Source organism: Homo sapiens, chromosome 3, assembly GCF_000001405.40.
Source record: "Homo sapiens chromosome 3, GRCh38.p14 Primary Assembly".
Classification (NCBI taxonomy): domain Eukaryota; kingdom Metazoa; phylum Chordata; class Mammalia; order Primates; family Hominidae; genus Homo; species Homo sapiens.
In genome coordinates this window covers 44,343,305-44,362,177 of record NC_000003.12, presented here as the reverse complement: position 1 = coordinate 44,362,177, position 18,873 = coordinate 44,343,305, and the positions used below count along the sequence as shown (strand labels likewise).

At 40.5% G+C, this 18,873-nt stretch overlaps 1 protein-coding gene across 7 annotated transcripts in view; it reads right to left on the bottom strand.

Annotated features, from left to right (window-relative positions):
* Positions 1–18,873, bottom strand: part of TCAIM (T cell activation inhibitor, mitochondrial) — a 71,320-nt gene that overhangs the window by 47,271 nt on the left and 5,176 nt on the right. For 4 of the 7 annotated variants that reach the window (NM_001282913.2, NM_001282915.2, NM_173826.4 and 1 more), the window contains exons 2-4: positions 7,367–7,439; positions 4,302–4,437; positions 660–813 (exon numbers count right to left, since the gene is read on the bottom strand). In NM_001282913.2, coding sequence (NP_001269842.1) covers positions 660–813; positions 4,302–4,437; positions 7,367–7,395 — 319 coding nt within the window. In that variant the 5' untranslated portion in view covers positions 7,396–7,439. Of the gene's footprint in view, positions 1–659; positions 814–2,377; positions 3,962–4,301; positions 4,438–7,366; positions 7,440–18,873 lie in introns of those variants that run through there. The other 3 variants (NM_001029840.3, NM_001029839.3, XM_047448023.1) reach the window with 2 other exon arrangements.

The window sequence follows — 18,873 nt, the reverse complement described above, 5'->3', positions numbered from 1 at the left end:
AGCACTCAGTGAATCCTTAAATTGTCTTAAGTTCATTCTAAAAATATAGTTATTTCTTCAAGGATCATTAAAAGCATGTATAATTAGAGAAATGATAGGCCTTTAGTGATCTTTACCCTAAATATTTGTCCTTAATTTTAAATATGGATAAGCAGTGACAAAAGGTAGTGAAAAGGTGGCTGTCTGCTAAGATCAATTGGATTTTAGAAGCAGCATAAGGTTGGAGTTCAAAGACCTGGGTTCAAGACTCATATTCTTTCTCTCTGGTCTTGGGAAAGGCACTGAACATCACTAAGTTACAATTGGGTAAGTACTACCAGCCTCAGAGTATTCAGAGGACTAAATAAGAGAATGCAAGCTGTAGTTTTTAGAAATACATATTGTTTGGACATGTTTAACACTTAAAATAACACTGAACTGGTAAGGGAACAAATAGGAACACTTTAGTTTTAGAAACAAAAACGTTTAAACACGCAAAAAATCACTTGTTCGAACATATGCAGGTAGGAATAGAATCTAATTCTAGGAAAACAATCAATTAAATGCTATTATTTTTCTATCACCAAAGTTTTCATCCAAAGGTATTCTGGCAATGTCAAAATTAATGAACACATTTAACATTAAGCTTGCAAGGGACACACCAGAAATAAAAAACGTACCGGAAGTACTAAAAGGTTCCTGGCCATCGGAGGAACTCTGGTCTGTTTCTCTTACATAAAATGTAAGCTGAGTTGGTTTCAAAGACTTGAAGCCTGGTTTCTGGAGGTTTTCTAGGTAGACACTTAACCTTTTAAGAGAATTTTCATTGATTTCCTGGAAAAAAACATTAAGGGCATTTACATACAAAATAGAACAAGGAAATATCAGAAATGATATCTATCTAACCTTTTAAACACATTGAGAGTATTAAATAATTTAGTATTTAAAAATGTTGGGATTTCATAGCTCTTTGGTAAAAGATAAAATTGGATCTACATCTCACAACATGTAACAGAATGAACTCCATATGGGTAAGATGTAAAAAGATGTAACCATATAAGTAATAGAAGAAAACATGGTTGAATTCCTTTATAACCTAAATGTAGAAAATGCCAATGACTAAATATCCCAAAGTAATAAATGATTGTTTGTTTAATTTATTCTAATATGATGTTCTTAGCCATATGAGTCCTGCAGGCAAGTGTGGGATAATTATTGCCAGTGTAAGACTAAATCTTCATCATTATTTTTTGATAAATATTTCTATTTTTGCTGAAAAGCAACACAAGAAGGCTGGACGTGGTGGCTCATGTCTATAATCCCAGCAGTTTTTGGGAGGCTGAGGTAGGCAGATTGCCTGAACTCAGGAGTTTGAGAACAGCCCGGGCAGCATGGTGAAACCTCGACTCTACAAAAAATACAAAAATTAGTTGGGCACGGTGGTACATGCTTGTGGTCCCAGCTACTCAGGAGGCTGAGGTAGGAGGATCACTTAAGCCCAGGAGTTCGAGGCTGCAGTGAGCCCCTTGATGGTGCCACCACACTCCCCGCCTGGGTGACAGAGCAAGACTCTGTCTCCAAAAAAATTAAAAAAAAAAAAAGATTATATATAGGAAGTGAATAGGAACTGGGTAAACGAAACAGGAATATAGGAATGAGACTTCTCATTAAACTTTGTATTTAGTTTTGATTTTTTTTTTAAACCCACAATGTTTTGCAGATTTTTAAATTAAATTAAAGAGGATTTTTTAAAAAACCCAAAAATCCTGTGCATCACTGGGAAACCCTGGACTTTGAGTTCGATGCTATGAATAGATGGGACTTTAAGCCACTCTTCCTAAGAAAAGGGGCAAGGGTGTTCTCTAATAGTAGGAAGAAGACTGAACTGAACATGTGGTGGCAAGAAGAGTGACAAGAAGAGTGAACAGTCTTCATGGAGCTTGCATTTTAGTGAGGGGAGAAAAATAAACAACAAACCTCACAAATAAGGAAATAGGGTACATGGAAAGGAAAAAAAAACAAGTACTGCAGGGTAAAGAGGGGACGGAATGCTAGGAAGGAAAGCAGAGATGGCAATTTAAAATAGGGTAGTTTTAAAAACAAAACAAAACAAAACAAACACAAGTAATAGTGTAGTCTGGGAGAGCCTCACTGAAAGGTGAGAAAGTAAAGGACAAGCCATATCTGGGATATCTGGGAAAAGGATGCTCTAAACAGAGGCAGCAGCTAGGGCAAGGGCTTGACACAAAGGAGGAGTCAATAAATACAAGTTAAAGATAACACGAAAATGTAAACTTATCAGAACCATTAAACTCTAGGCACATTGTGTCAGGGGTCCCCAAGACCACTCTCAGGTTCAACGATTTACTAGAAGGATTCACAGAACTCAGACAAGCTGTTTTATTCACCATTATGGTTTATTACAACAAAAGAATGGAGATTAAAATCAGCAAAGGGAAAAGGTGAATAGAGCAGAATCAGGAGAGACCACGTGCAAGTTTCCAGTTGTCATTTCACAGTGGAGTTTTACAGACAGTGCTTAATCCCCCCAGCAATGGTGTGTGACAATACGTAAAAGTGTTGCCACCCAAGGAAGCTCATCCAAGTCTGGATGTCCAGAGTTTTACTGGGGGTCAGTCAGGTAAGCATTTAGTGCTTATGTGACTCACTTCAGCTACTCAGTCTCAGCTCCCCAAATACCCAAGGTCAAATTAATACAGTGCAGCCCAGGGTCTTAGACACAGGAAAACAGGTATTCACTATAAATCACATTGTTAGCATAAACTATCTGGCATGGTCAAAGGCCTCAGGCAAACAGAAACATTCCTATCCAGGGGCTCAGAGCTCATTTCCCAGTAGCCAGTCAAAGGTCAGCACTGGGGTCAGACCTTTCTTTGGAATGTGCAAGGTTTAAGCAACCCAAGCTTGCTGAGTTAACCCTTTACCACACGTAGAAGTTTTTGTTGTTTGTTTTTTAAATTTAGGAGATGAGGACTCACTATGTTGCCCAGGCTTGAATTCCTGGGCTCAAGTAATCCTCCTGCCTCAGCCTCCCTAGTAGCTGGGACTACAGGTGTGCCACCATGCCCTGCTGCATACAGAAGTCTTAATTAAAAAAAATACATTGGTAGAATAATATTAAAGTATTACTAAGCTTGATTTTTCTATACATTTTGAATTTAAAAACTTTATTAATGCATCCCCGAGTTAATGAATATTTTTCTGTTGATTCAATTTACTGATTACTTTGAAAAGTTCTGACTTTGAGTAGCCAACATATCACATATCATAATCAGAATATTTTCCTAGAAGCAAAAAAGCAAAATAGATTTTCCATTGCAAGTAGAAAAAAATAACGATGTTCTAATTTTCAAGATTTCAAGTTCCTTTTCATATTAAACTAGATATCAGTGTTAATGAAAATAGAAGGAACACTGAAGTAATTCCAAAGCATGTGGCTTTGTAATACATAGCAGTCCCTTGGTATCCATAGGGGATTGGTTCCAGGACCTCCCGTGGATACCGAAATCTGCGAATGCTCAAGTCTCTCATATAAAATAGTGTAGTATTTGCAAATAACCTATGTGTATCCTCCCATATACTTTAAGTCATTTCTAGATTACTTATAATATCTAATATAATGTAAGTGCTATGTAAGTAGTTGTTATCCTGTGTTGTTCAGGGAATAATGACAAGAAAGAGAAGTTTGTTCATGTGTAGTACAGATGTATTTTTTTCCCCTAATATTTTCAGTCTGAGGTTGGTTGAATCCATGGATGTAAAACCCATGGATATGAAGGACTGACTGTATTTTCTAATGTTAAAATATATTGACTGTCTTAACTACATCTACCATAAGTCATTTTTCATATCAGTTTGTATTCCTGGAGCACACATTAACTGATGTTGTAGGGGAGTGGTCCAGCAGCATGCATCATAAGGAAAAATCACTAGGGCATTGAAAACTCTTCCATGTATCATCCTTAAAAAAAAAAAAGAGAGAGAGATTGATCATGATAATAAAGGTCTCAAGTTTTCTTTCAAACCCTCAACTGTACTTCAAAAATTGGTACCAAAAACATGATTACTAGTACTCTAAAGAGTTTAAATGACAGCTTTATTGCCTGCACAAAACAATGACAGCTTTCATAAAAAAAGCTCTATTTTCAATTTTCAGTATCTACATTTCAAATTAGTTCAAAGCATTGATTATATCACCACAACAGAATAATCCACATTTATAGAACTCTATGTATTATATTGTATCAAAGGTAAATAAGCAGAAATGTACACTAATGGTTTAAAAATAAATAAATGTTTACCCTTTCTACGGGGTGCTGTCCAAAGAAATCTGGATGTACTGCAAAATAGAAAGGCCTCAAGGCATTGACTGCTTCAGCTCCCGATAAAGCTCTTGAAAAGGGAAACCAGTGTGGAAATATCTTCTCTAGACATAACCTTTTAAAAAGATGTGGACTGGTTATTCATTGAGGCACTCACACACACACAAATCCTCAATGTATAAGTGACAATAAAACTAAACGTACTATGCACAGCAGAAACAAGATAGATACTTTGTGGTTTTCTGAAATCTATTAGTTTTACAAGCAGTGAGTACCACATGGTTTCTAAAACAGTGGTTATAAATTTTTCTGGTGCAAAATGAGAAATATTAAATAACATAATAATTTCCCCTCAATACTCCACTTTGAAATTCAGCTGACTTCACTGCAAATGATAACAATTTTCTTTATAAGTTTCTTATTCAGATCAAAAAATCTTAATATCCAATAGTGTAATTCTCTTTCTATATATATCTGTCTATATCTATCTCTTTCTCTCTTTTTTTCTTTCAGACAGAGTCTTGCTTTGTTGCCCAGGCTGGAGTGCAGCGGTGTGATCTCCGGGGGTCAAGTGATCCTCCCACCTTACCCTCCCAAGTAGCTGGAACTACAGGCACGTGCCACCACACCCAACTAATTCTTTTGCTGATCTCAAACTGCTGGCCTCAAGTAATACTCCTGCCTTACCCTCTCAAAGCAATGGGATTACAGTCATGAGCCACCATGCCTGGCTCAATTTTTTCTTTATAGTAGCAAACATTTTGATAATTATTATACTTAAAAAGAGATACAGATGTCTTTTAGTTCATTCCCTCATTATTAGCATGCTAAAATTATACTAGTTGGATAACTTGATATTCTCATTCTTTTTTTTTGAGATGGAGTCTTGCTCTGTTGCCCAGGCTGGAGTGCAGTGGCATGATCTTGGCTCACTGCATGCAATCTTCTGCCTCTCAGGTTCAAGTGACTCTCCTGCCTCAGCCTCCCGAGTAGCTGGGACTACAGGCATGTGCCACTACCGCCGACTGTTTTTTTTTTTTTTTTGTATTTTTAGTAGAGACAGGGTCTCACCATGTTGGTCAGGCTGGTCTCAAACTCCTGACCTCAGGTAATCCACCCGCCTCAGCCTCCCAAAGTACTGGGATTGCAGGCATGAGCCACCATACCTGGCCGTGATATTCTCATTCTTAAGTTTTGTAACCCACCTGGGAGTGTTTTTTAAAAGTACGGTGTTTAAATCCAAATGAAATTATTTGCGGTTTTTTGAAAGCACTTCCACGACACCTATTTTTAAATGTTATAATTTACCTTTTCCATCCTAAGCTTTTTTTTTTGAGACAGAGTCTCACTCTGTTGCCCTGGCTGGAGTGCAGTGGCATGATCTTGGCTCAACCTCTGTACCCTGGGTTCAAGCAATTCTCCTGCCTCAGCCTTGCAAGTAGCTGGGATTACAGGTGCACGCCACCGTGCCCAGTTAATTTTTGCATTTTTAGTAGAGACGGTGTTTCGCCATGTTGGCCCAGCTGGTCTTGAACTCCTGACCTCAAAGGCTCTGCCCGCCTCGGCCTCCCAAAGTGCTGGGATTACAGGCGTGAGCCACTGTGCCTGGCCCAACCTAAGCTTTTTATAATGAAGTCTCTAAACATTGCACATGCTTTTGTTCTCATACATTAGGTGTGACAAGTCTTTAGAAAAGTTTTATGTTTTTAAAATGGTAGAGATTGTGGAATCATTTCTGGTGATTTTTAAACAATCTGGAGACCACCAACCTATTTGCAGATTATCTTTTGTTTCTCCTATATATTTGAACCTTTTATAAAGTCAATATATGGATTTGTACATCAAAGATTAGAACAGGAGTTTAAAGTAAAGGAAAGAATCAGCCAGCATTAAATATGAGCTAGTCTAAGTAAACCACAGTGGCAACTCCACTTATCCCTCTGAGCTTCCGTTCTCATTTCCCAACGTCTGACATACACTTAGCTCTCCTGCCAGCTGCTCAAATTTTACATATCTAAAAAAGGAGTATGAGTCATTATTATCTTTCTAAATTCAGCCTGGTTACAGAAGGCCAGGGAGCAGTTAGCAACTCAATCCAGGATTATCTTCCTTATTTTTGTTATTGTGGTACCACCTTTCTCAATGTTGCAAAGCACAAAACCCAAATTAGTTCACTACCCCCATTCACTATCAGTTAGTAAAGTCTTCTCACTTTACAATGTTCAATGAAATCATTCCTTCTTTCCACTTTCTCTGCTATCAATTATCATCACTACAAAACTGGACTGTACATAATTAGTCTACTCTGCTGTCCTTTTCTCCAACCATATTGGGTATCACCAACAGATTAACTTTCTTAAAATTCCACCATCACTGTATTCCTTACTCAAACAGCTTTGGTGGTGCCCTAATTCCTGCAGAATAAATCCACTCCTTAGTCTGGTATTTGAAACCCTCTTTCATGGTTTCCCCATCTATCTTTCCAACTTGATCTCCAACCACTCCTTATACAAACCCTCAGTTCCAGCTCCCAAGAATCTTCCTCATTCTCCCCTTTCTGTCCTACATAATTTCTAAGCCCTAATGCATCCTCCCTGACCTGCATTTTTACCTATCCAAATTGAACAATTACTGCACACCTGCCATGCGCCAGGAGGCATTGTATCTATTCCCCCAGAACCTTCCCTTTTGTATTCTCATTAGTCTCTCCCTCTTTTAAACTCTAAAGAAAAGAAACTGTGTGCCCTAGATGCTTGAAACATAATACCATAAAGTGAATTGTGTTAAGAGGAAACTTGATCTGTTTTTCCTTTTAAGCTTTTCACACCTAACTCTTCTGAAGGACAGTATTCTTTTCACCTTCTACTCTGAATGTACTCTTGGAGGACCTGTCTTCTCATATAAATTTTCTTTCTTTTTGTTCCAGCTTTCCACCATAATATAACTTCAGAATTGGAAAAATAATAACAAACTGAAATAAACCAAATGCATAACAGACCTCCCCCCGCCACAATACTAATTACAGATTGGACCATGATGCTTACCTCCTCATAGGTCTCAGGTGGCAAAACATTTCTGAATATATATGTACGTCAACTTCGAGGCATCCATTAATTGCTTAAAAGTTAAGCAGATATCACAAATGAACAAGTAGAATTTTAAATGTAAAACACATTGCGATTTATATTATCACCCCAAAATATGAAATACTTAGTTATTAATCTTATAAAATATGTATAAGATCTAGATAAGGAAAACTACAAACTCAGATGAAGGAAACAGGAAGACTAAATAAATGGAGAGATACTCCATGTTCATGGATAGCAAGACTCAATATTGTCAAGATGTCATTCTTCCCAACTTGATCTATAGATTCAATGAAATTCCAATCAAAATCCCAGCAAGTTAGTTTGTGGATACTGACAAATGGATTCTAAAGTTTATAAAGAGAGACAAAAGACCCAGAGAGTAGCCAACTCAATAAGGAAGGAGAACAAAGGTGGAAAAGTGATACTACTTTATTTCAAGACTCACTCTAAAGCTACAGTAGTCAAGACAGCGCGGTGTTGGTGAAAGAATGAATAGATCCATGAAACAGAATAGAGAGCCCAGAAATAGATTCATACAAATAAAGTCAACTAATCTTTGGCAAAGGAACAAAGGCAATCCAGTGGAGCAAAGACAGCTTGTTCAACAAATGACACTAAAACAATCGTACATCCACATGCGAAAAAATTAACCTGGACACAGACCTTACATTGTTCACAAAAATTAACTCAAAATGGGTCACAGACCTAAATATAAAATGCTATAAAACTCCTAGAAGATAACAAAAGAGAAAATCTAGATGACCTTGGGGATAGAAATGACTATTTAGTTATAACAACAAAGGCACTATCCAGCTTAACTGGTAAGCTGGACTTCAGTAAAACTGAAAAATTCTGCTCTGTGAAAGACAATGTCAAGAGAATGAGAAGAAAAGCCACACACCTGGAGAAAACATTTCCAAAAGACACATCTGATAACAAACTATTATCCAAAATGTACAAAGAACTCCTAAAGCTTAACAATGAGAAAACAAGCAACCCAATCAAAAATGGGCAAAAAACCTTAACAGACACCTCACCAAGAAGACATACAGATGGCAAATGAGCATATGAAATGCAGTTCAACATCATGTGTTGTCAGACAACTGCAAATTAAAATAAGTGAGATGCCACTGCAAATCTATTAGAATGGCCAAAATCCAAAACATTGACAACACCTGCTGATAAGGATGTGTGGCAACAGCAACTCTCATTCACTGCTAGTGGGAAGGGAGAATGCAAACAGGTGCAGCCACTTTGGAAGACAGTATGGCAATTTCTTACAAAACTAAACATACTCTTACCATACTATACAGCAATAGTAGTCCTTGGTAATTTACAAAACAAACTGAAAACTATGTCCACACAACAACTAGCGCACAGGTGTTTACAGAGGCTTTATTTATAACTGCTAAAACTTGGAAGCAACCACGATGTCCTTCAGTAAGTAAATGGATAAACTGTGGTATATCCAGACAATTGAATATTATTCAGGCTAAAAAAAAGTCAGGGAGGAAACTTAACTGGATACTACTAAGTTAAAGAAGTTGGCCAGGCGCGGTGGCTCATGCCTGTAATCCCAGCACTGTGGGAGGCTGAGGCAGGCGGATCACCTGAGGTCAGGAGTTAGAGACCAGCCTGACCAACACGGTGAAACCCTGTCTCTACTAAAAAATACAAAAATTAGCCAGGTGTGGTGGGCGCCTGTAATCCCAGCTACTTGTGAGGCTGAGGCAGGAGAATTGCTTGAACCCAGGAATCAGAGGGTTGCAGTGAGCCGAGATCGCGTCTTTGCACTCCAGTATGGGCAACACGAGCAAAAACTGTCTCAAAAAAAAAAAAAAAAGAAGTCAATCTGAAAAGGCTGTATACTGTATGATTCCAAGCATATGATTCCAAGCATATGAATTCCAAGCAGTCTGGGAAAGGCAAGAAGTCTGAAGACAGTATAAAAAGATCTGTGGTTAATCGATAGGGAGGGATGAACAGGCAGAGCTCAGAGGATTTTTAGGGCAGTGAAACTATTCTGTATGAACGATACTAAAATGGTGGAAGCAACATTTGTCAACGTTTGTCAAAATCCTTAGAATGGACAACACCAAGTGAACCCTAAGGTAAAGCATGGACTTTGGGTGATAAGGATGTGTCAATGTAGATTGACTGTAATAAATATACCATTTTGGTGTGGATGCTGATAGTGAGGGAGGTTATGCGTGAGTAGGGATGTGAGTATATGAAACTCTCTTTACTTTCTGCTAAATTTTGCTGTGAACCTAAAATTGCTCTGAAAATTAAAGTCTATTTTTAAAACAAGCTATGGAGATAAAAGTGGGGGAAAGGATTTGAATCACATGAACTTTTCCAATAATGTAGCTCTTTAGCAAGATATTCGAATATACTACAGTCTCCATATCAACTGACCAAATGATTTTTAAAATCCTATGAGCAGTACCTTATTAAAGTCTTGCAAGGCCCTATTATTTGCATAATAACCATCAGATAAAAAATTCTTTTCTCCCCCATGTAATTGAGCTCTGAGCTTTTTCTGTTTTCCATTATTCCATTCTTGTGGAGAGCTGCTGAGTAGCACGTTCTCTCAAAACAATCACCACATGGCTAAAGTCCTATTCTGTCACATTTTAAGTACCAAAATGTTTTATATATATAATATATATATATATACACACACACATATATATGACTTTATATATAATACATATATAACTAACATATAATATATACATAACATATATGTTAGTGAAGTGGTCAATATATGTGAAGAAATCTAATGAAGCATAACTGTTATTAATAGAATGATAGAAAATTTTAAATGAAAAATCAGGAATTATCTTTTTTAAAAGTACATTCTTAAACAAAAATGGATACTTCAATTTATTTCCAGGTTGACTGATGTGGCAAGAGTTTCTAGGAGACAGAATGCATTTATAGGTATCCATTTAAATATTAAAAAGGTGGGTTGGGCGCGGTGGCTCATGCCTGTAATCCCAGCACTTTGGGAGGCTGAGGTGGGAGGATCACCTGAGGTCAGGAGTTCGAGACCAGCCTGGCCAACATGGCAAAACCCCATCTCTACAAAAAATACAAAAATTAGCCAGGTGTGGTAGTGGGACCCTGTAATCCCAGCTACTTGGGAGGCTGAGGCAGCAGAATCACTTGAACCCGGGAGGCAGAGGTTGGAGTGAGCCGAGATCACGCCACTGCACTCCAGCCTGGGCAACAGAGTGAGACTCTGTCTCAAAAATAAATAAATAAAATAAAATAAAATAAAATAAATTTAAAAAGGTGATTTTTTTAAACCATGCACATTGATATTTTGAGACAAATACAAAGATACAGAAAATACTTCTACCACTTCAAAGATTTCTGAGATCAAATGGAGATACAATGAGGAAAAAAAAAAACATTTGGGGCTAGATGCAGAGGCTCATGCCTCATGCATGTTCTCCTGCTCTTTGCTCCGTAAGAAAGATCCACCTATGACCTTGGGTCCCCAGCACTTTGGGAGGCCGAGGGAGGTGGATCAACTGAGGTCAGGAGTTCGAGACCAGCCTGGCCAACATGGAGAAACCCTGTCTCTGCCCAAAGCACAAAAATTAGCCAGCCATGGTGGTGCATGTCTGTAGTCCCAGCTACAGGCAGAATCACTTGAACCTGGGAGGCAGATGTTGCAGTGAGCCGAGATCGCACCATTGCACTGCCTGGGCAAGAGAGTGAGACTCCATCTCAAAAACAACAACAACAATAAAAAATACAAAAAAAATTTGGACTATTTGAAGGTTCAGTGTTACCTGTGAGGGACTAAATTCTCACCCAAACTTCATCATAAGATGAACAAAATAACCTAGATTTAGTTAAGACAGCACAAGTACCAGACCCCAAGCTTGCAAAGAAAAAAAGACTAGAAAAATATGCAATCTGTAACAACAGCTATCTCTAGGTGGTAGGATATTAAATGTTTTCATTTTGCTTCTTATTTTCTATATTATTTACAACAAACGTGAAATATGTTCTTAAAAAAATCATCTGCATATAATGGTCCCCACTTGTAATCCCAGGAATTCGGGAGGCTGCAGCAGGAGTATTGCTTCAGGCCAGGAGTTCAAGACCAGCCTCTGGGCAACATAGTGAGACTCTGTCTCTAAAAAACAAAAAAGTAGCTGGGTAGTGTTGTTTGTCTGTTGCCTCAGCTACTCAGAAAGCTAAGGTAAGGATGGCTTGACTCTGGGAAGTGCAGACTACAGTGAGCTGCAATCGTGCTGCTGTACTCCAGCCTGGGAGACAGAGCAAGACCCCTGCCTCAAAAAAAAAAAAGAAAGAAAATGAAAAAGAAGGAAGTGGGGCCTTCGGGAGGTAATTGTCAGGCCTCTGAGCCCAAGCCTGCACATACACATCCAGATGGCCTGAAGTAACTGAAGAATCACAAAAGAAGTGAAAATGAGTGGTTCTTGCCTTAACTGATGACATTACCTCGTGAAACTTCTTCTCCTGGCTCAGAAGCTCCCCCACTGAGCACCTTGTGACCCTCGCCCCTGCCCTCAAGAGAACAACCCCGTTTGACTGTAATTTTTCACTACCTACCCAAATCCTATAAAACTGCCCCACCCCTAACTCCCTTTGCTGACTCTCTTTTCGGACTCAGCCTGCCTGCACCCAGGTGATTAAAAAGCTTTATTGCCCACACAAAGCCTGTTTGGTGGTCTCTTCACACAGACGCACATGACATTTGGTGCTATGACTCGGATCGGGGGATCTCCCTTGGGAGATCAATCCCCTGTCCCCCTGCTCTTTGCTCCGTAAGAAAGATCCACCTACGACCTCGGGTCCTCAGACCAACCAGCCCAAGGAACATCTCACCAATTTTAAATCGGGTAAGCGGCCTCTTTCTACTCTCTTCTCCAACCTCTCTCACTATCCCTCAACTTCTTTCTCCTTTCAATTTTGGTGCCACCCTTCAATCTCTCCCTTCCCTTAATTTCAGTTCCTTTCCCTTTCTGGTAGAGACAGAGGAGACGTGTTTTATCCGTGAACCCAAAACTCCGGCACCAGTCACAGACTCGGGAAGACAGTCTTCCCTTGGTGTTTAATCACTGTGGGGACGCCTGCCTGATTATTCACCCACATTTCAGAGGTGTGTTATCACCACGGGGACACCTGCCTTGATCCTTCACTTTGGTGGCAAGCATAACCTCCCCTGGGGGGTAAGTATCCCCCTCTCTCCATGTCTCTACCCTCTCTTTTCTCTAGGCTTGCCTCCTTCACTATGGGCAACCTTCTACCCTCCATTCCTCCTTCTTCTCCCTTAGCCTGTGTTCTCAAGAACTTAAAACCTCTTCAACTCACACCTAACCTAAAACCTAAACGCCTTATTTTCTTCTGCAATACCGCTTGACAATAGTTCCAAGTAGCCAGAAAACGGCACTTTCAATTTATCCATCCTACAAGATCTAGATAATTCTTGTAGTAAAATGGGCAAATGGTCTGAGATGTCTGATGTCCAGGCATTCTTTTACACGTCGGTCCCTTCCTAATCTCTGCTTCCAATGTGACTCATCCCAAATCTTTCTTCTTTCTCTCTTATCTGTTCCTTCAGTCTCCACCCCAAACTCTGAGTTCTTTAAATCCTCCTTTTCTGTGGACCCATCTGACCTCTCCCCTCCTCCCCAGGCTGCTCCTTGCCAGGCCAAGCCAGGTCCCAATTCTTCCTTAGCCTCCGCTCCCCAACCCTATAATTCTTCTATCACCTCCCCTCCTCACCCCTGGTCCAGCTTACAGTTTCGTTCTGTGACTAGCCCTCCCCTACCTGCCCAACAATTTCCTCTTAAAGAGGTGGCTGGAGCTAAAGGCATAGTCAAGGTTAATGCTCCTTTTTTCTCTATCAGACCTTTCCCAAATCAGTTAGCACTTAGGCTTTTTCATCAAATATAAAAACCCAGCCCAGTTCATGGCTCGTTTAGCAGCAACCTTTAGACGCTTTACTGCCCTAGACCCAGAGGGGCCAGAAGGCCATCTTATTCTCAATATGCATTTTATTACCCAATCTGCTCCCGACATTAGAAAAAGCTCCAAAAATTAAATTCCGGCCCTCAAACCCCACAACAGGACTTAAATAACCTTGCCTTCAAGGTGTACAATAATAGAGAAGAGTTGCAATTACTTGCCTCTGCTGTGAGAGAAACCCCAGCCACATCTCCAGCACACAAGAACTTCAAAACACCTAAGCCACAGTGGCCAGGCATTCCTTCAGGACCTCCTCCCCCAGGATCTTGCTTCAAGTGCTAGAAATCTGGCCACTGGGCCAAGGAATGCCTGCAGCCCAGGATTCCTCCTAGGCCGTGTCCCATCTGTGTGGGACCCCACTGGAAATCGGACTGTCCAACTTGCCCGGGAGCTGTTCCCAGAGCCCCTGGAACTCTGCCCCAAGGCTCTCTGACTGACTCCTTCCCAGATCTTCTCAGCTTAGTGGCTGAAGACTGATGCTGCCTGATGGCCTCGGAAGCCTCCTGGACCATCACAGACACTTTGGGTAACTCTTACAGTGGAGGGTAAGTCCGTCCCCTTCTTAATACAGAGGCTACCCACTCCACATTACCTTCTTTTCAAGGGCCTGTTTCCCTTGCCTCCATAACTGTTGTGGGTATTGACGGCCAGGCTTCTAAACCTCTTAAAACTCCCCAACTCTGGTGCCAACTTGGACAATATTCTTTTATGCACTACTTTTTAGTTATTCCCACCTGCCCAGTTCCCTTATTAGGTTGAGGCATTTTAACTAAATTATCTGCTTTCCTGACTATTCCTAGGCTACAGCCACACCTCATTGCCGCCCTTTCCCCCAGTTCAAAGCCTCCTTCACATCCTCCCCTTGTGTCTCCCCACCTTAATCCACAAGCATAGGACACCTCTACTCCCTTCTTGGTGACCAATCATGCACCCCCTTACCATCCCATTAAAAACTAATCACTCTTACCCTGCTTAAGGCCAATATCCCATCCCACAGCATACTTTAAAAGGATTAAAGCCTGTTATCACTTGCCTGTTACAGCATGGCCTTTTAAAGCCTATAAACTCTCCTTACAATTCCATTTTACCTGTCCAAAAACTGGACAAGTCTTACAGGTTAGTTCAGGATCTGTGCCTTATCAGCCAAATTGTTTTGCCTATCCACCCTGTGGTGCCAAACCCATATACTCTCCTATCCTCAATACGTCCCTCCACCACCCATTATTCTGTTCTGGATCTCAAAACATGCTTTTTCCACTATTCCCCTGCACTCCTCCTCCCAGCCCCTTTGCTTTTACCTGGACTGACCCTGACATCCATCAGTCTCAGCAACTTACCTGGGCTGTACTGCTGCAAGCCTTCAGGGACAGCCCCCATTACTTCGGTCAAGCCCTTTCTCATAATTTACTCTCTTTCTGTCCATCTACTTCACACCTTATTAAGTATTTTGATGACCTTCTACTATATAGCCCCTCCTATAAATCTTCCCAAGAGGACATCCTCCTGCTCCTCCAACATCTGTTATCAAAAGGATATCTCGTGTCGTCCTCCAAAACCCAAATTTCTTCCTCATCTGTTACCTATCTCGGCATAATTCTTCATAAAAACACACGTGCTCTCCCTGCTGATCGTGTCTGGCTAATCTCCAAAACCCCAACCCCTTCTACAAAACAACAACTCCTTTTCTTCCTAGGCATGGTTAGGTACTTCCGCCTTTGGATACCTAGTTTTACCATCCTGACTAAACCATTATATAAACTCACAAAAGGAAACCTAGCTGACACCATAAATCCTAAATCCTTTCCCTGCTCCCCTTTCCATTCCTTAAAAAACAGCCCTAAAAGCTGCTCCCATACTAGCTCTCCCTAACTCATCCCAACCCTTTTCATTACACACAGCCGAAGTACAGGGCTCTGTGGTCAGAATTCTTACACAAGAGCCAGGACTGCGCCCTGTAGCCTTTCTGTCCAAACAACTTGACCTTACTGTTTTAGCCTAGCCTTCATGTCTGCACGCGGCAGCTGCTGCTGCTCTAATACTTTTAGAGGCCCTCAAAATCACAAACTATGCTCAACTCACTCCCTACAATTCTCATAACTTCCATGTAGATTACAAGCCGCTAGCGTGCCTCTTAGAATCTCTCATTTCCTTTCCACCATGGACATTCTACCCTCAAGGAAATCATTTCTCAGTGTTCCATCTGCTATTCTACTACTCCTCAGGGATTGTTCAGGCCCTCTCCCTTCCCTACACATCAAGCTCGGGGATTTGCCCCTGCCCAGGACTGGCAAACTGACTTACTCACATGCCCCGAGTCAGGAAACTAAAATACCTCTTGGTCTGGGTAGACACTTTCACTGGATGGGTAGACGCCTTTCCCACAGGGTCTGAGAAGTCCACCGTGGTCATTTCTTCCCTTCTGTCAGACACAATTCCTTGGTTTGGCCTTCCCACCTCTATACAGTCCGATAATGGACCAGCCTTTACTAGTCAAATCACCCAAGCAGTTTCTCAGGTTCTTGGTATTCAGTAGAACCTTCCCCTTACCGTCCTCAATCTTCGGAAAAGGTAAAACGGACTAATGATCTTTTAAAAACACACCTCGCCAAGCTCAGCCTCCAACTTAAAAAGGACTGGACAATACTTTTACCACTTGCCCTTCTCAGAATTCGGGCCTGTCCTCGGGACGCTACAGGGTACAGCCCATTTGAGCTCCTATGGATGCTCCTTTTTATTAGGCCCCAGTCTCATTCCAGACACCAGCCTAACTTGGACTGTACCCCAAAAACTTGTCATCCCTACTATCTTCTGTCTAGTCATACTCCTATTCACCATTCTCAACTACTCATAAATGCCCTGCCCTTGTTTCCACTGCCGGTTTACACTTTTCCTTCAAACCATCATAACTGATACCTTCTGGTTTTACCTCAAACCACCACCCTTAAGTCTCTCTTAAAGTGGATAGATGATCTTGCTGGCAGGGTACACTCCAATACTTTCACCTTGATGAAGTCCTATTCTTTACTTTCATACTCACTCTTATTCTTGTTCCCGTTCTTATGCCACCCTCTACCTCTCCCCAGCTATCTCCACCACACTATCAATCTCACTCACTCTCTCCTAGCCGTTTCTAATCCTTCTTTAACAAACAATTGCTGGCTTTGTATTTCTCTTTCCTCCAAAATCGTGGAGGACTCGTTAGTCACTGCTAAAAAAAAAGGGGACTCTGTATATTAAACGAAGAGTGTTGTTTTTACCTAAATCAATCTGGCCTGGTATATGACAACATAAAAAAACTCAAAGATAGAGCCCAAAAACTTGCCAACCAAGCAAGTAATTATGCTGAACCCCCTTGGGCACTCTCTAGTTGGATGTCCTGGGTCCTCCCAATTCTTAAGTCCTTTAATACCTGTTTTTCTCCTTCTCTTATTTGGACCTTGCGTCTTCTGTTTAGTTTCTCAATTCATACAAAACCGTATCCAGGCCATCACCAATCATTCTATACAACAAATGCTCCTTCTAACAACCCCACAATATCACCTCTTACCACAGAATCTTCCTTCAGCTTAATCTCTCCCACTCTAGGTTCCCACGCCGCCCCAATCCTGCTCGAAGCAGCCCTGAGAAACGTCGCCCATTATCTTTCCATACCACCCCCAAAAATTTTCAGGGCCCCAACACTTTACCACTATTTTATTTTTCTTATTAATGTAAGAAGACAGGAATGTCAGGCCTCTGAGCCCAAGCCTGAACGTATACATCCAGATGGCCTGAAGTAACTGAAGAATCACAAAAGAAGTGAAAATGGCCGGTTCCTGCTTTAACTGATGACAATACCTTGTGAATTGAATTCCTTCTCCTGGCTCAGAAGCTCCCCGACTGAGCACCTTGTGACCCCCGCCCCTGCCCGCAAGAGAACAATCCCCTTTGACTGTAATCTTCCCCACTACCTACCCAAATCCTATAAAACTACCCCACCCCTAACTCCCTCTGCTCTCTTTTTGGACTCAGCCCGCCTGCACCCAGGTGAATAAAAAGCTTCATTGCTCTCTCCAAGCCTGTTTGGTGGTCTCTTCACACGGACGCGTGTGACAGTAATAAGGTCATTAGTGCCCTTATAAAAAGTCCTGTCCTCTGATCAAAACTATCAGAAAAAAGGAAAATTACAAAAAAGGAAAAAGAAAAAAGCCCCAGAGGGCTATCTTGCCCCCTACCATGTGAAGTTATAGCAAGACAACAAATCTGCAGACATCTTGATGTTGAATTTCCCAGACTCCAGAACCGCAAGAAATATATTTCTGTTGTTTTTAAGCTATCTGGTTTATGATAGTTTGACACAGCAGCTGAAGACTAAGATAGTATCCTTAATGACTTTTAATCATGGAGGATAAAGTATGTTGTGTGTAAGATGGAATTATGTAGCACATTTCAGAAGCATTTCAGAAGCATTTCTGAGGCTCGGTATGGTGGCTCATCCCTGTAATCATAGCACTTTGGGAGGTGAAAATGGGCAGGAGTTCAAGACCAGCCTGGCCAACATGGCAAAACCCCATCTCTGCTAAAAATACAAAAATTAGCTGAGTGTGGTGACACACGCCTGTAATTCCAGCTACTTGGGAGGCTGAGGCCTTGAGCCTGGGAGGTGGAGTTTGCAGTGAGCTGAGATTGCACCACTGCACTCCAACCGGGGTGATGGAGTGAGACTCTCTCAAAAAAAAAAAAAAAAAAGCATTTCCATCAAAAATAATCAAAGCAAAATAAAATTTGTGTAAAGTTCAAGGTCTTTAGTTATCCAGAAAAATACATTCATCCACTAATCGCTTTGTAATCACAGAGTATAACTAAACTACTACTGAGAAATGACTAATAAAGGACATTAGTGCTTAGAAATGTGACAATAGATTTTCTCAACAAAAATAAAATGTTACCAAATACAAATCTAAACATTAAATCATGGTTTCCAGATTTAGAAAGAGAGCACTAAAAAAATGACAGGTTGAGAATTAGGTGTTTTCTATCTGCTTATTTTGTGAGCAAGCTATTTCCTAAAAAGGTTTACATTTCAGTAGAGTAATAGAATTACAATCTAGGCCTCTGCTGTCTAAAACAGTAGGCAGCCACTAGCCACATGTAGCTACTGTGCACTTGAAATGTGGTTAGTCTAAATAGAGATGTGTTAAGCTTAACATACCCACTGGATTTAAAAGATTCAGTACAAACAATGGAAAGTATCTCAGTAATAATTTTTCATATTGGTTATGTGTTGAAATTATAATTTATTAAAATTAATTTCACTTTTACTTTTTAAAAAGTAAAACATCTAGTTTTTAGAAAATTTTAAATTATATCCAAGGCTTACATTCTATTTTTATTGGATTGTGCTGATCTAAACACTTCCAGTGAATGTGACTGTCAAAGTAGGTAGTTTGCATAATGGTTAGGAAATG